This window comes from Homo sapiens, chromosome 17 (genome assembly GCF_000001405.40).
Source record: "Homo sapiens chromosome 17, GRCh38.p14 Primary Assembly".
Classification (NCBI taxonomy): Eukaryota; Metazoa; Chordata; class Mammalia; order Primates; family Hominidae; genus Homo; species Homo sapiens.
The window spans coordinates 16,666,002-16,688,487 of NC_000017.11; the positions used below are offsets into that span (position 1 = coordinate 16,666,002).

The window sequence follows — 22,486 nt, forward strand, 5'->3', positions numbered from 1 at the left end:
TCCTCTATTCTTTTTCTTTCGTTTTCTTTTTTTTTGAGACGGAGTCGCGCTCTTGTGCCCAGGCTGGAGGGCAGTGGTGCGATCTCAGCTCACTGCAGCCTCTGCCCTCGCTCGCTGCATCCCTCCCTTCTGCAGGTAAGATGCCAATATTTACCCTACTGACCGTGGCCAGTTCTTGGTATTGCTCAAGTCCCCTGGGCCTTCAGACTGGCGGGTGACTTCAAGGGACCAACCATCCTGGGCCTCTCCTGGGACAAACACTTGCCTTCACCCACTATCGATGTCTTGCTCAGCCCTCAGAGGAGCGTGGTTGGCGTGGATTACTTCATGCCTTGATTCTGCCTTCCCGGAAACCACGGTGGCAGCAGGCTTGGATGTCACCAAGTCACCGTGTTTCATGCTATTTCTGGAAGTTCTCGCCTTTGTGGCCTCGGAAAGGAAGGCGATCTGGTGCTTTGGGGAAAGCCCTCGGGATGCTCCTCCAGATGGTCTTCTTCAGGCCTTTTGCTCAGCATTGGTCTGATCAGTTCTGCCAGCTCTGGGCCATGATCTCTTGGCACTGGCGCGGCTTTCCTTCAATAATTCCATAAACTCCAGACTCCGTGTCTTTTGCATGGAAAGCACGCGGTGCCCATTTCATCGACACCGCACCCCGGAGTCCAAACGTCAGCCCTGCGGGTGTGGGGTTTGTTGGGGACAATTTCGGGCTCAGGTGCAGGGGGCGCTTCCCCAGCGCGGGCGCGTCCTGGGCGCCATCTGAGGCCGTGGGCTCCTGGCAGGAGGACCTGGAGCTTTCAGATCCCCGGGAAGGATGCATTTCCCCCACTCTTGGGCACAAGCTGCCCTTTGGTGGCGTTGGGCACAGATCACCGCCTGGCAGAAGCCCGCGACAGCGTGGAGGGAGCGATGCCCCCGCCCGGGACTCCTGGTGGGTGATGGCGCCGGGAGGCCTTGGCTGGGACAGATCGGGGCCTCCCGGTCGGTCAGCGACTCGCGCCCGGCTGCGACTTTCAGAGGCTTTTGGACACCGCCTGCCATCCCGCCGCGCCTCTCGGGGTCCGCTCCCCCGGACTGGCCCTGCCCACGGAGCGCGGGTAGCAGCCGGCGGCCAGGAGCCAGTGGCGGGAGCCACCGGTGGGAAAACCGGCAGGAGGCTGCGCTGGACCCCGCTGGGCAGCGCCAATCCCTAAGGCAGCCGGGCGGGTGAGCTAACGGCGGCGGGGGCGGCTGAGAGGCTGAGGGGCTGAGGCGGCTGAGGCGGCTGAGGCGGCTGAGGGGCTGAGGGGTTGAGGCGGCTGAGGCGGCTGAGGGGCTGAGGAGGCTGAGGAGGCTGAGGCGGCTGAGGAGCTGAGGGGCTGAGGCGGCTGAGGGGCTGAGGCTGGTGAGGGGCTTGAGGGGCCGAGCGGATAAGGCGGCTGACGCGGCTGAAGGGACTGAGGGGCTGAGGTGGCTCAGGGGCTGACGCGGGTGAGGGGCTGAGGGGCTGAAAGGCTGAAGGGCGGGCAGCGTGCCGGGTCCCTGCGGCTGGGTCCACCGCACGTCACGTGGCAGAATCCCGGGGCTGCTTTCTCTCCGGCTGCTCAGCCACTTGTTTTCTCACTGTGAACCTCGTGGGCTCCTGCTCGGTGTCCTTTCTTACTCTGTCTCTGTTTTTGCATTCTATTGGCAAGAATGTTATTTAGGATATTTTACTGATATAACTGAGGATGAACTGTGTTTTGCAGCATTTTGTTTTATTACGCGTTTTCTCCTAGATTTTGGTATCATTTTTATGCTGACTTGATTAAACATTTTGGAAACTTTCCTGGAACTGATAGCTTTTATATGATCTTTTTCTTGAGGTAATAAAATAATTTACTTTGAAATGTCTCAGCCTAACAACTTTTGTGCTTTTGTTGTTTTGTGCAGAGGTGGGAAGACTCCTTTGCATTTTTGGTATCACTTCTGTGTTAATGATTTTGTTGTTTGTTTCGCAAAATCACTTAGTGATCCGTGTTTTCCAACTTAGAGTTAACATGCACCATTTTGCGACATAAAAAAATGTCTCGTATATCTCTTTGTATGTCTCTTTTCGTTTCTCATGTTTGGAATTGTCTTCATTTTTTCATCATTAGTTTAAAGTAGGAATTTATTAAATATTCCCAAAAGACCGAAGTTTTACTTCATCTCCTAGGCAATTCATTTTTCAATGTGTTATTCACTGATTTCTCCACGTTCATTAATATTGGGAATAATTTATATAAATTGATTATTGCTGCGTTACAAGCTTACGGAGCAACATTCTGTCTTCAGTATTTTAATGTATTTTTTAATTAAATATACTTTAGTCACTTATACCATATTTAAGTTTATTTTCCTGATTCTAGGCCCTCTAATTATTAACTAGAATGCTGATAGTTTTCCCTAAGCTTCAATTGTTTATAATTTATTCATTTATGACAGGTGAGCATAAAACTACTTCGTTATGAAGATTCAATGATATATTGTGTAGAGATTTTATACTATGTGCTTGGACACAAACACTCTTAAATAATTGTTATTTTTTTCTACCTGCTTTTGACATAATGAAAGTGCATTTTTAATTTTTTAATTTTTTTATTTAGTTGTAACAGACTTTAGGATATAATGGTCCCAGATTCTTTTGTTATCTGTTTTATAGCCACATTGTTTATTCTGTTGTCATTATATAGTATTTACATGCTGTATTAGTCTACTCAGGCTGTTATAACAAAATACTATAAACTGGGTGCTTTCAACAAGAGACATTTATTTTTCACAGCCTTGGAGGCTGGGAAGTCTATGACCAAGACAATGGCTGATTTGGTTCTTGAACAGGCTTTCTGGCCTCTTCTTATAAGGGCATTAATTCCATCATAAGGACCCCACTCTCATGACCTCATGTAAACCTAATTACCTTCAAAGGCCCTATTTCCAAATCCCATCACACTCAGAGTTAGATCTTCAGCACATAAATTCTAGGGGAAACAAATGTTCATGCCATAACACACACTGCTGACCCTTTCTTTCCGTTTCCATAGTTGTTTAACTTTATTATTTATAATATTTTGGAGGAATATCATAATTATCTTTTGGGTACTTATTAATTTTTTAATACAAAATGCATTTATTAAGCAGTGAAAATGCTAATAAAGTCATATAGTAGTTGCTTCCTATACTATATATATCTTGCGACATTTGAGAAAGATTTTGCATAATATATGTAATGCTATCATTCAAACATGTTTAATAAGTAGGTCAGAAAGAGAAGAATGTTTTCCATCTTCAACCAAACTAAGGATACATTCCAGGTCCAAATCACCAAATACATGAACTTAGATTTAAATGTTTGTAGTCAGGCATTCAACTGTTTAATTACAGTCCACCCGGAACACACATTTTATTCTCAGTTCTCATATCAGCAGGGCATTGATAATGTGTACTTGTCTAACGGCAAGTCTGAGCATTAGCTTTTGATAGCATTTTAACCCAATTTAATATTTCTGTGTGTGCTTAAGTGGATAGACAAGCATTCTCCAACACTTTTTCTGATGCTGGAAATGTTCTCTGTCTATGTACGAAATATGCTAACCACTACCCACATGTGGCTTTTGAGAAGTTGAAAGGTAGATAGTGTGACTAACCAAATTTTTATATTATTGTAATTAATTTAAATTTAAATGTAGTAGCCATGTGTGGCTATTGGACACCATACCTCTAGGTTATTACCACTGGTATCTAGATAGATCAGACAATTCACAGAAGCCTCACATGTAACCCCATTCTTCTTAATGTCAAAGCATGGAGCCTGCTACTTCATCTCTCTACACTTTTGAGTTATCACTCATTTTTTACCCTAACATAAGTCAAGGTAGATATTATGCCAAAAATTATAGAAAACTATTGTTAGGCCAGGCCCGGTGGCTATAATCCCAGCCCTTTGGGAGGCTGAGGGGGGTGGATAATGAGATCAGGAGTTCGAGACCCACCTGACCAACATGGTGAAATTCCGTTTCTACTAAAAATACAAAAATTAGCCGGGCATGATGGTGTCCACCTGTAATCCCAGCTACTCTGGAGGCTGAGGCAGGAGAATCCCTTGAACCTGGGAGGCAGAGGTTGCAGTGAGCTGAGATCACGCCACTGCACTCCAGCCTGGATGACAGAGTGAGATTCTGTCTCAAAAATAAAAAGTAAAGAGAAAAGAAAACTAGTGACAAAATCAGTAACTTAGCAGTTTTCCTTGATCTCTTTGATGTGGTTCAATAAATAATCTTGTGTTTTTCTTTTTTCTTTTTTTTTTTTTTTTGACAGAGTCTGGCTCTGTCACCCAGGCTGGAGTGCAATGGCGTGATCTTGGCTCACTGCAACTTCTGCCTCCCGGGTTCAAGTCATTCTCCTGCCTCAGCCTCCTGAGTAGCCGGGATTACATAATCTTGTGTTTTTAGTATAATCCCTATATGTTGATTTTATTATCTTTAAAATGATAACACTAGGAAGACCTACTTCATATTATTTTATTTTTTTGAGACAGGGTCCCACTCTGGCACCCAGGCTGGAGTGCATTGGTCCTAACAGGGCTCACTGCAGCCTCAACCTTTCAGGTTCCAGTGATACTCCCACCTCAGCCTCCCAAGTAGCTGGGACTACAGGTGGGTGCCACCAAGCCTGGCTAATTTTTATATTGTTTTATGGAGACAGGGTTTCGCCATGGTGTCCAGGCTGATCTCCAATTCCTGAGCTCAAGAGATCTGCCTACCTTGGCCTCCAAAAGGGCCGGGATTAAAAATGTGAGCCACCATCCCCCGCCCTCTATAATTTTAAATTAGGCAACTGAAGTAATGCATACATCATACCATATCATGTTTTATAAAGCATAAAGTCAGGATAATAAGGTGGTTAAGAACATGAATTTAGAGATGAAACCATGCTGGAAAAAGTTACTGAAATTTTAAAAGAAGTATTTTAAATAATACAAAATATTTATATTATCACTTTTTTTTTTTTGAGACACCATCTCACCCTGTCACCTGGTTGGAGTGCATTGGCACGATCTCAGCTCATTGCAACCTCCACTTGCTGAGTTCAAGCGATTCTCCTGCCTCAGCCTCCCAAGTAGCTGGGATTACAGACACCCACCACCACACCTAATTTTTGTACTTTCAATAGAGACAGGGTTTTGCCATGTTGGCCAGGTTGGTCTCAAACTCATGACCTCAGGTGATCTGCCCATCTTGGCCTCCCAAAGTGCTGGGTTAATAGGTGTGAGCAACCATGCCTGGCCTATCATTACCTTTTTGATTATTAAAGGGTTACATTAAAATGATAGGATTTAAAATATCATTTAAATTATTCAAATTTTTATTCAAAATTTGAGAAGAAAATTCTGGGTTACAAAATAGGCGTTATTCTGTAAGTTCTGTGTCCTGCTCTGAGCATAAGTGGTCTGATATTAGGAAAGTCAATAATTACCTTAGTAGTACTTTCTCTTTAAATACCATAAATAAATAATGTAATTAAATGTACCATTTAATCATTACATGTGGTAAATCAGTGACACACACACACACAAACACTCACAGTGAATTTACCAGATGCATCCCATCAGTCTGGCAAAACACCTATGATTAATAAAATATATGTGGAGACATATTGGTCCCTACTCTTCAGAGTAAAATTCAGGTGGATATGGATATATTATCTTTTCCTCTGAAACTAAAATTAAGGTAATATTCTACCTTTTAAGGGGATAATCATTCTCATTTTTAACAATGAGACTATTTCTGTCATTCACTTACCTATTTCACAATTCTGAGACAGGCTGAAACAAACAAGAAAAAACCATATGTATTAACATATGTTATCTTATATAAAAATTATTTTGACTGTACTTCTGCCCTTTATTAGGATATATGCTAATTAAATATTATGTTAAAGGATCTATAAATGATGATGAAATAATTTTCAAGTACAGTTTAAGTAAAGCTACATCTATTCTTGCTGCTCCTGTCATAGCCTAGATTTATAGCTAATTTTCATGAGTTACCGTTTTGTAATACACATCCCCCCAACCATGCCACTTCCCAGCTTTTAAAAGAACTTAAGGATTTTTAATAGGAATTTAGAGAAAGTATTGCTGCCTCCTATCAGAATTTACTGGCACCTTTGCTCACAAATTGGAAGTAAAATATGTCACTGTGACCCTTACTGGTATCCCTGATGTGTGACATCAATTGCACATTTTCTTTCCTCTGATTTTATGTGTATGTTTGGTAGATCAGATAAACCTGGGACATGTCGGCCGGGCACAGTGGCTCACTCCTGTAATCCCAGCTATTCAGGAGGCTGAGGCAGGAGAATGGCTTGAACCTGGGAGGTGGAGGTTGCAGTGAGCCAAGATCACGCCATTGCACTCTAGCCTGGGGGACAAAAGCAAAACTCCATCTCAAAAAAACAAAAACAAAAACAAGAAAACCTGGGACATGTCAAAATTTCTATAATGAAATGTTTGTGTTTGCCTAAAATAAATTCCTATTAGAACAATAAAAGTGAGAAACAAAACAAATGTAAAATGGAAACAATTTATATAACCTGGCAAAACACAGTAACATTAACCTATATTTAATGAACACATCGAAACTCAAAACCAATAATTTATCATTGTAGTAAAAATATACAACAGAAATTATGAGATGGTTTCCTCAGTGAAAAGCACTGTGTGTACAATCAGTCCCTAGATGACTTCATATTTTTCTAGTCTAATTCTAAGAATTTGCTCATAATACTATAAATGGAACTGTTTTCCAAATAATATTAACGTCTATCTTTGTCTATCACCATTGTGTCAATATTTGTGTGATCCTTTAAAATTTAGAAGGCCTAGAAGGATGCTTTTGCTTTTGCAATACAAAAAATGGCCTAACACAGATACAGATGATAGAGATATAGATAGATAGGGGGTCACATTTTGAAATTTAGTTCTCGAAGGGACTTATTTCACTGCAAGTTTGAAATTATTCTAGTTTTAAATTTAACAAATGATAAACCTTATAGAATGATAACACAATTGTACATGTTATAAAGTCACAGGTTATATCTAATGATGTACCAATCATTTTGTGTTGAGGTTGGTAGCATTTTCTTTTTTTACTGAGACTTCAATTCTCAGTAAATGAGAACAGTTTTTACACAGAGGGGCCCTAACACCACCACATACTAGGGCTGTTCTCAGACTGTGAGGTTCTGCCCACACCAAGCCAGGATGAGAATTTTATTCCTCATACTGTTCTCGGTACTTGTTTGTATCCCATAATATCCCCCCAAAAGTTCATTTTTTATGCTGTTTGCTATTCGCTTACATTTAATACATGTATCAAAAAGTTATCTTCATTTTTTTTTTTTTTTTGAGACGGAGTTTCACTTTTGTTGCCCAGGCTGGAGTACAGTGGCGCCACAGTGGCTCACCGCAACCTCTGCCCCCTGGGTTCAAGCGATTCTCCTGCCTCAGCATCCCGAGTAGCTGGGATTACAGGCATGTGCCACCACGCCCGGCTAATTTTGTATTTTTAGTAGAGACTGGGTTTCTCCATGTTGGTCAGGCTGGTCTCGAACTCCTGACCTCAGGTGATCCATCTGCCTCAGCCTCCCAAAGTACTAGGATTACAGGCGTGAGCCACCACGCCCGGCCTATCTTCGTTTTTAAAATAAAATTTTATACTATCGTTTAATCTATGTCCCTATAGAATAATCTTGATCCATATACTTTTGTTATTACAGGCAGAACAAGATAAAATTCCTCTGTCTGGAATAAATGCCATGACCACCACATTTTGAGCATTATTTTTTTTAAATTATTTTTTAAACAGAAATGTATCTAACTTACAGTAACCAAATTCCTTTTCAAAGTAACTACATTTCTTTTAAGTGAAAAATTAAATATTTACCTTCTGTTATCAAGAATTCTCTGAATACAAAATATTTATTTTTTTTAACGTTAGAAGAAATTGAAAATATCTACATGTACTAATCTAAAAATACAGGCCCATGCTGTTAACATGTCTTCCAAATTTTAAGGAATAGGTATTTAAATGCTATGCACTTTGTTTCCAAATTTAGAAAGTGTTTCAACCTTTTGGCTGGGCATGGTGGCTCATGCCTGTATTCCCAGCACTTTGGGAGGCTGAGGTGGGAGGATCACCTGAGCCCAGGTGTTCCAGACCAGCCTAGGCAACATGGTGAAATCTCATCTCTACAAAAAATTACAAAAATTGTCCAGGCATGGTGGCACCACCTGTATTCCCAGCTACTTGAGAGGCTGAGAGGGGAGGTTTGCTGGAGCCGGAAAAGTTGAGGCTGCAGAAGGTAAAGTGTCGAGGCTAACAGATGATAAATATTTAATTTTTCACTTAAAAGAAACATTGGTTACATTGAAAAGAAAGTTGCTTAATGTAAGATAGATAAATCTCTGTTAAAAAAAATTTTAAGTGAGCCTTGTTAGCACCACTGCACTCCAGCCTGGGTGATAGAGCAAAACCTGTCGAAAGAAAGAGGAACGAAGGGAGGGAGGGAGGGAAAGAGAAAGAAAAAGTGAGGGAAGGAAGGGAGGGAGGGAAGGAGGGAAAGAAAGAAACCAAAGAAAGAAAATGTTTCAAGCTTTACAGTAGCAAAGCCACTCTGTAATGAATAAACCACAGAACCAAAACAATCTAACCAACAATATGATAAACTTCTGATTTGAATATCAAAACCAATTTCAATAATAAATATATGGTATGAAAACCCCACAAAGGTCAAGTAGGATGTGTTATACTTGAATGAAATTATGAGTTGAGAATAGGAAATCTATAAATCTAATCAAACAAATTGAAGATTTATGAGGAAATTGTACTGCCAATGTATTACTTGGCAAGTTATTCAGTGGAACACAAAGACATTCTTAAGGAAGTTGCATATATATTTTAAAATGTTACCATTGAAATGGATTTTTTAGGCCGGGCGTGGTGGCTCATGCCTGTAATCCCAGCACTTTGGGAGGCTGAGGTGAATGGATCACCTGAGGCCAGAAGCTCGAGACCAGCCTGGCCAACATGATGAAACGCCATCTCTGCTAAAAATACAAAAATCAGCCGGGTGTGGTGGCACGTGCCTGTAATACCAGCTACTGGGGAGGCTGAGGCAAGAGAAGCGCCTGAACCTGGCAGGTGGAGGTTGCAGTAAGCCGAGATGGTGCCACTCCACTCCAGCCTGGGCGACAGAGCAAGACTCCATCTTGAAAAAAAAAAAAAAAAGTGGATTTTTAAAACTGAGGACATTAATAACTTGAAAAAGTATTCAGGGATAAAGAGAGAAAAAATAAATTTAGATTGTTGTTTACATATATAAATATATTTTAAAAGATAAGCTTGTCTTTTTTTTTATTCCTGAAATAAAAGGAGCAGATATTTAAATCCCATGCCTTTCATTTTAAAATTTGGGAAATGCTTACAGCTTCCCACACTGAAATTTATACTAACACAACTAATATAACATACGGAAAACAAAATAAAAAAAAAAGGAATTCTCTTGACCAATCTATTTTCTTGATTTTTAAAAGTCTAAATGTATACTCAAAGAAAGAAAACTATTAATAATTGATTCTCTTATTCGAAAATATTTACTGATCATTTACCTTCCACTAAGTGATTTCCAGCTCATGGAGATAGATCAGTGGAAAAATACATAAAGTTGCCCAGCTTCGTTAAGCTTAAATTATTATTATTTTTTGAGACGGAATCTCGCTCTGTCGCCCAGGCTGGAGTGCTGTGGCCCCATCTCGGCTCACTGCAAGCTCCTCCTCCCGGGTTCACGCCATTCTCCTGCCTCAGCCTCCCAAGTAGCTGGGACTACAGGCGCCCGCCACCAAGCCCAGCTAATTTTTTTTTTTTTAATTTTCAGTAGAGACGGGGTTTCACCGTGATAGCCAAGATGGTCTTGATCTCCTCACCTCGTGATCCCCGCGCCTCGGACTTCCAAAGTGCTGGGATTACAGGCATGAGCCACTGCGCCCGGCCCACGCAGGGACTTTAAAACATGAGTATTATGATAAGGCTTGGAATTCTAAAAATTGCATACTGTGATTGCTTTGTGGAGACTGGATTGAAAAAAAGGGCAATGATAAAGCTTAAATTCATATAGAATATGGCTAGCCTATAATTTTGAGAGTCCCTGAAATAAGAGTGTATAATAGTTCTCAGGCTGGGTGCGGTGGCTCATGTCTGTATTCCCACCACTTTGGGAGGCCAAGGCAGGTGGATTGCTTGAGGTCAGGAGTTCAAGAGCAGCCTGGCCAACATGGTGAAACCCTGTCTCTACTAAAATACAAAAATTAGCTGGGCGTGGTGGCAGGCGCCTGTAGTCCCAGCTACTCGGGAGGCTGAGGCAGGAGAATGGTGTGAACCTGGGAGGCAGAGCTTGCAGTGGGCAGAGATGGGGCCACGGCACTCCAGCCTGGGTGACAGAGCGGGACTCCGTCTCCAAAAAAAAAAAAAAACACAAAAAACAAAACTTGTATTAAATTGGCTTTTTTAGAAATAGCATTTTGACTTATAATTTAGACACCATCAAATAATGTACAAAAATATGCTGCTTCCTTTCCTTTCTCTTCTTACCAGACAATTGTCAATTTTCTTTTCAACTTCTTTCTTCTACTTGTTTTTTTAAAAACACTCTGCACATTTCCAATCTTAGTACTGCAGAAACAAACTCTGTGGTCAAACCACATATACAGGAAGAGTTGAATTATATTCAAGCATTTTTAAAATAAACAATTCCCCCTCACTGTTCTGTGATTATTTTATATAATCGAATGTCTTCCAGATGTACATCCCAAACCAAACATACATCTGGTTTGTACATCTGGTTTTCAAACTCTGCTGTGTTGTCTAATTGCATCAGAATTATCCAAAATTATAATAATAAATAGATAAATGGGCACAACTCCAGATTTATGAAATCAAAATTTCCAGAACCCAGGAATATACATTGAAAAATGTCTCCCTCAGGTGATTCTGACGTCACATGTGGTCCGAGGTTACAATGCAAAGAAAATTACCTTCCTTGCCCTCCAGTTGACCCCTATATCCACATGTCCTCTTCCTCTTTTGCATTCTGCCTTCTCTCCTTCTGCACCTTCGTCCGTCCTCTCTTCCCTCCACTTCTTCTAGTCCAGATCCCAAGCCCTCCCTCACCAATTCTCCTAAAACTCCAAATGGTCAGTTGCCTCTAAAGTTCCGTCTGTTCCATGAACAAGTTATGCGGGCAAATGTAGAATTTAAGCTTGGGCCCAGCTGAATCAAGAGCTGCAATTAAAGATTTCCCTAAACCCAGAGGGGACCAGCAAATACTTATAGAAGGTTATAGATTTCCTGTGAGTGCAGATGGCTCAGGGTGACCGGATGCTGTAGACCAAATCTTATTGTCCCCCTCAAATTCGTGTGTTAAAATCAAATTCCCTATGTGATGGTCTTTGGAGGTGGGGCCTTGGGAGGTGATTACTTCATGAAGCAGAGACCCCATGAATGGGATTAGGCTCAGGCCTGTAATCTCAGCAACTCTGGGAGGCTGAGGCGAGTGGATCGCCTGAGATCAGGAGTTTGAGACCAGCCTGGCCACATGGTGAAACCGCGTCTCTACTAAAAATACAAAATGGCAGGTGCCTGTAATCCCAGCTACTCAGGAGGCTAATCACTTGAACCCGGGAGGCAGATGTTGCAATGAGCGGAGATCATGCCACTGCACTCCAGCCTGGGTATCAGAGTGAAACTCTATCTCAAAAAAAGAAAAAAAAAAAAATGAAAGCAGGAGGTAAATTGTATATACATGCAAACATCAGTGTCATGACACCTAATTTATCAGGATTTGATAAATTAATTAATTTGACTGATTTTGGGCCACAGAGTCATTGGATAACTTGATTCCACTTAAAACAAGGGATGATTGGTTTGGTTTCAACCTATTCTGTTTTTCTAATTCGTCCTTTCCCACACTCTACTCAGAATGAATTTGACATTGTAAAACTGGCTTGTATCATAATGGCTACTATGCTTTAAAATAGGGTAGGTGCTTTGGGATCGTTGGAGTTTTAATGTACAAACCATTCATAATTTATCCCCAAAGCAGTGTGGATTGTTTTGTGAATGTTCTACATCCCCTGATCTGAAAACTGACCAGAAAAGCTACCACTGAGATAAAGCAGCCATCCGACTTAGGGGCCTCCTTCCTCCCACTCTCCAACAAGACTGGAAATAAAGGAAAATCTTGAGTTCCTTCAAGGGAAATTCCAGGCACCCAGCTGGCCCTGAAAAGTAATGAGCAACTTGATAAACAAGATCATAATAGTAGCTTAAAACAATAGCCAAGGCAGTTAGAGTTGTGAGATGTTTGGTTCCCTATAGAAACTAATAGTAACATTTTAACACAAGTCCCTGAGTTGTTTTTCAGAAACCCGAAGCCCCACCAAATGGATACCCTGGCATGCAGACCTCAGATAAGGGGGAAACAGAACTGAATTTTGAATCTCTGTTCTTTCTTCTTTTTTTCTTTTTCTTTTCTTTTTTTTTTTTTTTGACAGAGTTTTGCTCTGTGGCCCAGGTTGGAGTGCAGTGGTGTGATCACAGCTCACTGCAGCCTTGACCTCCTGGGCTGTGGCAATCGTGCCATCTCAGCCTCCCAAGTAGCTGGGACTATAGGCATGTGCCACCAAGCCTGGCTAATTTGTTTTTTTTTTTTTTTTTTTTTGGTCGGAGTTTTGCTCTTGTCGCCCAGGCTGGAGTGCAATGGCGCAATCTTGGCTCATGTCAACCTCTGCCTTCCGGGTTCAAGCAATTCTCCTGCCTCAGCCTCCCAAGTAGCTAGGATTACAGGCGTGTGCCACCACGCCCGGCTAATTTTGTATTTTTAGTAGAGGGCGGGTTTCTCCATGTTGGTCAGGCTGGTCTCAAACTCCCAACGTCAGGTGATCCGCCCGCCTCGGCCTTCCAAAATGCTGGGATTACAGGCGTGAGCCACTGCGCCCTGCATTGTCTTTTTTTGTTGTTGTTTTTGTAGAGATGGCGGGGGGGGGTCTCACTTTGTTGCCCAAGCTGGTCTTGAACTCCTGGCCTCAAGTGATTTTCTCCATCTTTGTCTATCACCATTGCATCAATGTTTGTGTTATCCTATAAAATTTAGAAGGCCTAGAAGGATGTTTTTGCTTTTTGCAATATAAAAATGGCCTAACACAGACATAGATGATATAGATATGGATAGGTAGGGGGTGTATTTTGAAATTTGTTTCTCTAAGGGACTTATTTCACTTCAAATTTGAAATTATTCTGGTTTTAAATGTAACAAATGATAAACCTTATAGAATGACAACACAATTGTATATGTTATAAAGGCACAGGGTATATCAAATGATGAACCAATCATTTCGTGTTGAGGTTAGTAATTTTTTTTTTTTCCTGAGACCTCAATTCTCGGTAAATGAGGACAGCTTTTACACAGAGGGGCCTTAACACCACCACACACTGGACTTGTTCTCGGGCTGTGAGGTTCTGCCCACACCAAGCCAGGATGAGAATTTTATTCTTCACACTGTTCTCAGTACTTGTTTATATCCCCCCAAAAGTTCATTTTTTATGCTGTTTGTTCTCTCACATTTAATACATGTAAAAAAAGTTATCATGGTTTTTAAAATAAAAAAGTATGTTATCTTTTAATCTATGTCCCTATAGAATTATCTTGATCCATGTACTTTTGTTGTTACAGGCAGATCAGGCTAAACTTCCTCTCTCTGGAATAAATGCCATGACCACTGCTCTTTGAGCATTATTTTTCTTAAATTATTTTTTAAACAAAAATTAATCTAACTTACATTAACCAAATTTCTTTTCAAAGTAATCACATTTCTTTTAAGTGAAAAATGTTTACCTTCTGTTATAAAGAATTCTCTGAATACAAAATATTTATTTTTTTTAAACTTTAGAAGAAATTGAAAATATCTACATATTACTAATCTAAAAATACAGGCTCTGGGTTTATATGGTGTTAACATGTCTTCCAAATTTTAAGGAATAAGTATTTAAATGCCATGCGCTTTGTTTTCCAATTTAGAAAATGTTCCAACCTTTTGGCTGGGCATGGTGGCTCATGCCTATAATCCCAGCACTTTGGGAGGCCGAGGTGGGAGGATCACTTAAGTCCAGGCATTCGAGACCAGCCTGGGCAACATGGTGAACCCCATCTCTCCAAAAAATTACAAAAATTGGCCAGGCATGGTGGCACTACCTGTAGTCCCAGTTACTTAAGAGGCTGAGATGGGAGGATTGCTGGAGACAGAAAAATTGAGGCTGCAGAAGGTAAAGTGTTGAGGCTAACAGATGGTAAAGATTTAATTTTTCACTTAAAAGAAATATTGGTTACACTGAAATTTGGTTGATGTAAGATAGATAAATTTCTGTTAAAAAAAATTTAAGTGAGTCTTGTTAACACCACTGCACTCCAGCCTGGGCAACAGAGCAAAACCTGAAGAAAGAAAGAAAGAGAGAGAGAGAAAGAAAGAGAGAAAGAGAGAGAGAGAAATAAAGAAAAAGGAAGGAAGGAATGAGGGAAGGAAGGAAGAAAGGGAGGGAGGGAGTGGGGGAGGGAGAGACAGAGAGAGAGAGAAAGAAGGAAGAAAAAAGGAAGGAAATAAAACAAAAAAAAAATGTTTCAAGCTCTACAGTAGCAAAGCCACTCTGTAATGAACAAACAACAGAACCAAAACAAAAAAGGATTCTACCGACCAATCTAACCAACAATACAATTATGAAGTTGATTCAAATATCAAAAATCAATTTTAATAATAACTATATGGTATGAAAACCCCACAAAGATCAAGTAGGATGTATTATACTTGAATGAATTTATGAGTTGAGAGTAGGAAATCTATAAATTTAATCAAACCAGTCTAAGAATCATGAGGAAATTGTACTGCTAATGTATTATTTGACAAGCCATTCAGTGGAACAAAGATATTCTTAATGAAGTTGCATATATATTTTAAAATGTTATCGAGGTAGATTTTTAAAAATGAGATGAATAACTTGAAAAAGTATTCAGGGATAAAGAGAAAAATAAATTTAGATAGTTTACATATATAAAATATATTTTAAAAGCTAGGCTTGTCTTTTTTTATTCCTTAAATAAAAGGAATGGATATTTAAATCCCATGCCTTTCATTTTAAAATTTAGGAAATGCTTACAGCTTCCCACACTGAAATCTATACTAACACAGCTAATCTAATCAATGGATAACAAAATCAAAACAAATGGAAATCTCTTGACCAATCTATTTTCTTGATTTTTGAAAGTCTAAATGTATACTCAAAGAAAGAAAACTATTAATAATTGATTCTGTTATTTGAAAACATTTATTGATCATTTACCTTACACTAAGTGATCTCCAGCTCATGGAGACAGATCAGTGGAAAAGTATGTAAAGTTACCCAGGTTTGTTAAGCTTAAATTCTAATGAGGGAGAAAAGAAGTAATAGCGCAGGTACTTTAAAACAGGAGCGTTGGCCGGGCATGGTGGCTCACGCCTGTAATCCCAGCACTTTTGGGAGGCTGAAGCAGGTGGATCACCTGAAGTTGGGAGTTCGAGACCAGTCTGGCCAACATGGAGAAACCCCGTCTCTACTAAAAATACAAAAAATTAGCCGGGTGTGGTGGCGCACGCCTATAATCCAGCCACTCGGGAGGCTGAGGCAGGAGAATTGCTTGAACCTGGGATGTGGAGGTTGCGGTGATCCCAGATTGCGCCACTACACTCCAGCCTGGGTAACAAGAACCAAACTCCGTCTCAAAAAAAAAAAAAGTGTGTTATGATACGGCTTGGAATTCTAAAAAATTGCATACTGTGGTTGCTGTGTAGAGACTGGAATGAAAAAAAGGGCAATGATAAAAGCTTAAATTCATATAGAATATGGCTAGCCTATAATTTTGAGGGTGCCTGAAATAAGAATTTATAATAGTTCTCATTATTTCCCCCAAGAAATGTCTGCAGTAGAGCCCTGACCGTGTGAGGGAAGTAGTGTAGTTACCAAGTGGTGAGGGTGGGAAGGTGAATTTGAAAACACCATTTGGAATTACTGCACTTTAAAGGCAAAGCTGGCAGGTTTTCCATACACGACAGATCTGAAAATGGGTGTGTGTGTGTGTGTGTGTGTGTGTGTGTGTGTGTGAGATGGAGAGACAGAGAGAGAGAGAATGAGAACCAGACAGATACAGAGAGAACTAAAAGGGGATATCAAGAATATTGAGCTGAGAAACTATAAAATGGGAGTTGCCATTAAACAGATAGGGGAAGAGCAAGTCTGGGGAGTATTGGAGGCTCCATGTGGACCTTCATTTTGAGATTCCTGACTGACACCCAAGTGAAGAAGTCAGACGGTGCTGGGTGTAGTCTAGTGTTGAGGTATAATATGAAATATCAGGAAATTAATGACACAAAAATTAGTAAGAAAGTAAATAAAAGAAAGATAAGTCCAGGTCCTGAGCCTAGTGCTTCTCTAACATTTAAAAAATAGTAAAGGTGAGAAAAAAACAGCAAAAAAGGACTAGGGGTAATTATAAAAAATGTCAGGGGAAAGTGGGTTAAGTGTTCTGGAATTCTATCAAAGAAAGTTTTGCAAAAAGGACAGATCACCTGTGTCAAATGCTGCTGATACATAAATTAAGACAAAGGCTGAGGAATTATGCTTTAATTCATAATTTAACAATATGACTATCGTTTGTGCTTTGAGAAGAGCAATTTTGTTGTAGTGAGTAGGTGAGAAACCATATTGGAGTCCTTACTAAAAGGAATGTCTGATCTCTGGATTCTCTGTTTTTTTTTTTTTTTTTTTTTTTTTTTTTTTTTTTTGAGACAGAGTCTTGCTCTGTAACGCAGGCTGGAGTGCAGCGGCTCGATCTCAGCTCACTGCAACCTCTGCCTCCTGAGTTCAAGCAATTCTCCAGCCTCCTGCTTCTACTCACAGAAGCAGAGAGTAGAATGGAGGTTACCAGGGGTGGAAGGCAGGGGTTTGGGGAGACGGTGAAATCATTCAAAAGTGTAGTTAGACAGGAGGAATAAGTTTAAGAGATACATTGCACAACATGGTGACTGCAGTTAATGTATTGTATTCTTGAAAATCAAGAAGGGTTCTCACCACAAAAAGTAAGTATGCATATGTTCCTGAGCGCAATGTAATCATTCCACCATCTACCTATTTCTAAACAGGTTTTACACAACATATATACAATTTTATTTGTCATTTAAAAAACGAATGAATTGTAAAAAGAATTAAGTACTGGAAAACTTGTCACAGTTTAGGACAACTCTCTTTGTAAAATTAGTGGTTCTTGGGAGTCAAAATGCTTCCTGGTGCCGGGAGTGAGCGATGAGCCGGCTTCTGTCCCTGGCGGCAGAGTCGCCTTGGCCGCCTTGCCCTGCCGCCGCTCTCGCGGGTTCGGGATGTTCTATGCCGTGAGGAGGGGCGGCAAGTCCGCGGTCTTTCTGACCGGGAATGAGTGCAAAGCACAGGTGGACCGGTTTCCTGCTGCCAGATTTAAGAAGTTTGCCACAGAGGATGAGGCCTGGGACTTTGTCAGGAAATCTGCAAGCCCGGAAGTTTCAGAAGGGCAGGAAAATCAACATGGACAAGAATCGGAGACGAAAGCCAGCAAGCGACTCCGTGAGCCACTGGATGGAGATGGAGATGAAAGCGCAGAGCCATATGCAAGCACATGAAGCCGAGCGTGAAGCCGAGCGTGAAGCCGAGCGTGAAGCCGGCGCCTCCAGTTAGCAGAGACACGTTTTCCTACATGGGAGACTTCGTCGTCGTCTACGCTGATGGCTGCTGCTCCAGTAATGGGCGTAGAAAGCCACGAGCAGGAATCCGCGTTTACTGGGGGCCGGGCTATCCTTTAACTGTAGGCATTAGACTTCCTGGGTGGCAGACAAACCAAAGAGCGGAAATTCATGCAGCCTGCAAGGCCATTGAACAAGCACAGACTCAGAAAATCAATAAACTGGTTCTGTATACAGACAGTATGTTTACGATAAATGGTATAACTAACTGGGTTCAAGGTTGGAAGAAAAATGGGTGGAAGACAAGTGCAGGGAAAGAGGTGATCAACAAAGAGGACTTCGTGGCACTGGAGAGGCTGACCCAGGGGATGGACATTCAGTGGGCGAGTATCTTAAATGTTCATGTCCCATGGCTATTGTGACCAAATAAGCTAAGTTTACTAGAGATTAATGGTTTATGTAAGTGGTTTAATGACATAACAATTTCCATGAAGTTAATATCATAATATATATTAAAACATATTTGAGGCTGGGCGCGGTGGCTCACGCCTGTAGTCCCAGCACTTTGGGAGGCTGAGGTGGATGGATCACGGGGTCAGGAGTTCAAGACCAGCCTGGCCAGTATGGTGAAGCCCCATCTCTATTAAAGAGTACAAAAATTAGCCAGGCGTGGTGGTGTGCGCCTGTGGTCCCAGCTACTCGGGAGCCTGAGGCAGGAGAATCACTTGACCTGGGAGGCTGAAGTTGCAGTGAGCTGAGATCACGCCAGTGCACTCCAGCCTGAGCAACGATATGAGACTCTAAGACTCCATCTAAAAAAAAAAAAAAAAATTTGAGACTGGGCTCAGTGGTCCACATCTGTAACCCAGCAATTTAGGAGGCCCAAATGAGCTGACTACTTCAGCCGAGAAGTTTGAGACCAGCCTGGTTAACATGGTGAGACTCTGTTTCTAGAAAAAATAAAAAATTAGCCAGGTGTAGTGGTGCATGCCTGTAGTCTAGTTACTCAGGACGCTGAGGTGGGAGGATGACTTGAGCTGGGGAGGTCGAGGTTGCAGTGAGCCAAGATTGTACCACTGCACTCTAGCCTGGGCGACAGAGCGAGACCCTGTCACAAAAAAACAAAACAAACCCACCCATGTACATGCATTTGATTCTTTTCCTTATCATACAAGTAATACATTTTTTTGGTTTGGTTTGGTTTGGTTTTTGAGACAGGTCTTACTCTGTCACCCCAGGCTATGGCGTGATCTCATTGCAACCTCTGCCTTCTGGGTTCAAGTGATTCTCATGCCTCAGCCTCCCAAGTATCTGGGATTGCGGGCATATGCCACCACACCTGGCTGGTTTTTGTGTTTTTGGTAGCGATGGGGTTTTGTCATGTTACCCAGGCTGGTCTTGAACTCTTGACCTCAAACAATCCACCTGCCTTGGCCTCTCAAAGTGCTGGGATTACATTTGTTTTATGTCATTTATTTCTTTTCCATGCCTTTTTGCACTAGCTAGAACTTCCAACGCCGTTTTTTGTTGTTGTTGTTTTTGGTTTTGTTTTTGAGATAGTCTTGCTCTGTCACCCAGACTGGAGTGCAAATGGCGTGGTCTCGGCTCACTGCAAACTCCGCCTCCTGGGTTCAAGTGATTCTCCTGCCTCAGCCTCCTGAGTAACTGGGATTACAGGTACCTGCTACCACGCCTGGCTAATTTTTTTGTATTTTTAGTAGAGACGGAGTTTCAACATGTTTGCCAGGCCGGTCTTGAACTCCTGACCTCAGGTGATCCACCTGCCTCGGCCTCCCAAAGTGCTGGGATTACAGTCCAGTACAGTTTTAAATAGGACAAATGAAAAAGGGAATCCTTGCCTTGTTCCTGATTTTACGGGGGGAGTGGGAGTGTTTTCTGTGATTGGTTCTGTTTTTTATTTTTATTTTTACTTATTTATTTTGAGACGGAGTTTCATTCTTATTGCCCAGGCGGGAGTGGAATGGTGCCGTCTCAGCTCACTGCAACCTCCGCCTCCTTTGTTTAAGTGATTCTGCTGCCTCAGCCTCCCAAGTAGCTGGAATTACAGGCGCCCACCACCACATCTGGCTATTTTTTTTTTTTTTTTGTATTTTTAGTAGAGAGAGGGTTTCATCATGTTGCTCCTGCTGGTCTCGAACTCCTGACCTCAGATAATCCACCTGCCTCAGCCTCCCAAAGTGCTGGGATTATGGGCATGAGCCACCGAGCCCGGCTGTTTTTTTTGTTTTTTTTTTTTTTTTTTTTTGAGACAGAGTTTTGCTCTGTTGCTCAGGCTGGAGTGCCAGTGGCGCGATTTCAGCTCACTCAGGGGTGAGCCACCACACCTGGCCTGTGATTGGCTCTGTTTTTAGTAATTATGTGCAAACCATCTAGAACCAGCTCTGGGCAATGGTGTTGCAATTTCCCTCCCTCCATGCTGGCACCATACCAGCCCCTCTCCAATGGGAGCCCAAGTTGCCAGTGACTGTGGCCAAACTCTCCATTTTTGTCTGTATCCTGCTCTCTTTAGGTTAAAAAGAAGGAAAGAAACATGAAAGGCCATGTGCAATTTATTTTTATAACTCAAGGAGTTTCCCCGACTACCATTTTTTTTGTTGCCAGTGGGTGTGCATATAGAAGAGGAATGCTATATCCTGTCCCTAGAAGTACACATGGTGGTCAGGTATGGTGGCTTATGCCTGTAATCCCAGCACTTTGGGAGGCTGAGATGGGAGGATTGCTTGAGCCCAGGAGTTCGGGACCAGCCTGGGCAACATGGCAAGACCTCTGACTCCACAAAAAAAAATTGTTTTTTTTTTGAGAGAGCATCTCACTCCGTCGCCCAGGCTGGAGTGGTATAATCTTGGCTCACTGCAACCTCTGCCTCTGTCACACACACAAACACACACACACACACACACACACACACACACACACACAAAGAAAAGAAATACAGGCGGTGTTTCAGGGAAGGGAAGGTTCTGCTGGGGTCCTGGAACTGTGACTGATGGCCTCAGGGATGCAGGAATAGGCCTTCTAGCACAGCAGCTAGTAGGCTCCCCCAGGCCATCCGCTGGCGTGTGGAGGTGCAGGACCTGGGGGAGGCAGTCCTCACCCCAGCTAGGCCAAGGGGTAGGGTTTTTAGGTCTGTTTTTAACAGAACTCAGAGCACCAGGTGAAGGTGGAAAGTTGGTAAACTGGGAAAACAAGGTCAGCATCTTACATTTTCTATACTCAGCAGAGTGTGCCATTCCCGGTTTCTGTCCTGAGGCTTTCAGAGGCCACAACAGCCAGGTTTCTTTCCATCTTCCCTCAGTCAGTATGTAGTCATTTAAAATTCTTTGGTTGTTCTGAAGATCCTTTTTTTATGTATAATTTTTACATGAAAGACAGCTGCAAAATGCAAGCCTCAGTAGAGTGGGGGAGTTTTTCAAGGTGAGAAGTCGCTGTTCTCTGCACTGAACAGGGATTGAATTTTCCTTGTCTGATGGTAGCCCATCCCCCTCCCCCGCCGCCCCCCGCAGGGATAACATTCTCAGGAATTTCTCTTGTCCTAGCCCCTTTCATTTCAAAAACAATATTAGTCTTTTGTTTTCCTTTTTCATTCATTTGTTTTTTTACAGCTTTTGTAGAGACCAACCCAAGTAGATGCCAGTGGGTATTAAACAAAAACACACATACCCAGGGGACAAGCCCTCCAGCGGTGAGGAATCTCTGCCATGTTCTCTTCCCTGCTGCCCACGAACATTACGGAGACTCCCTTAGTCTCCCCCTCCTCTTCCCCACTGAGGGGCGGCTTGTGGAGATGGAGGACTCGGGCCCATAGATGCAGACCCACTGTCAAATCCAGCAATAGTTCTCATTCTTCCAAAGCTCGAGTGCCATTTTGAGATGCCCTACCAATGACATGCAGTAAAGGACATAACCTCACAGCCTTTTTAGAAGCATTTTGAATATCTACAGTTGCCTCAATTCACGGGGCATTTCATTCCTCTGATCCAGGTTAGAGTTTTGCTAAATCTGTAGCATCCTGAGTAGCACACTAATTTTTTTTTTAGCACACTAACTTTAACTACATTAGTTGAGTGTAGTTGATACATCTGTGGCCTTGTGTCTATAAAGAGCACACTAGATTGTACCCAGCACTTTTGGATATGACATGCTAATTAGATGTATTTAACTATTCATAGGAAAGTGTATGATAAATGACTGTAATATTTCTAATAAATATATTTTGTTTCTAATTATTTTTTTCTCACTGACATGTATCAATATTTTTTCAAAGTGCCACCCTTAAACTGAGTCTGTTTTCAGACCAGCATCTTCATGCATATATCCTTGTCAGGTCACAGTCTCCACTGCAGCTGCTCTTGCGGGTGGTGCTGGAATTTTCCACAGAGGACTGGGCTCCTGCTGGTTCCTCCGCTGCCCGTGTGCAGCTTTCTTGCTCAGGCCACAGGCTTACGTGAAGATCACCCTTCAAGGCCTACCCAGGACACTGCTGAGCTGTGCAGATGTGCACACGATATGTGCAATGTCATACGTGTGACTAAATGCCAACTGAGACCCCAGAAACCACTCATAGGGGGAATTATGCCAAGATTGAGGAGGCAGGGTGATACTTTTTTTCTTTTTCTGTTT

At 41.9% G+C, this 22,486-nt stretch overlaps 1 protein-coding gene and 2 pseudogenes across 1 annotated transcript in view, besides 1 other annotated feature; 2 read left to right on the top strand and 1 right to left on the bottom strand.

Annotated features, from left to right (window-relative positions):
* On the bottom strand, nucleotides 104-1,112 carry NEK4P2 (NIMA-related kinase 4 pseudogene 2; annotated as a pseudogene).
* CCDC144A (coiled-coil domain containing 144A) overlaps nucleotides 716-22,486 on the top strand; it is a 111,165-nt gene continuing 89,394 nt past the window's right edge. The window contains exon 1 of the mRNA XM_017025429.3: nucleotides 716-1,203. Within this exon, the coding sequence (XP_016880918.1) occupies nucleotides 812-1,203 (392 nt within the window). The 5' untranslated portion in view covers nucleotides 716-811. The remainder of the gene's footprint in view (nucleotides 1,204-22,486) is intronic.
* On the top strand, nucleotides 17,400-18,295 carry RNASEH1P2 (ribonuclease H1 pseudogene 2; annotated as a pseudogene).
* Nucleotides 20,942-21,442: an enhancer, noted in NCBI's record as "H3K27ac hESC enhancer chr17:16590257-16590757 (GRCh37/hg19 assembly coordinates)". NCBI's record gives its function as "activates a minimal SCP1, AML or CMV promoter by ChIP-STARR-seq in primed H9 embryonic stem cells {active_cell/tissue: H9 hESC(primed)}" and the evidence as "EXISTENCE:reporter gene assay evidence [ECO:0000049][PMID:30033119]".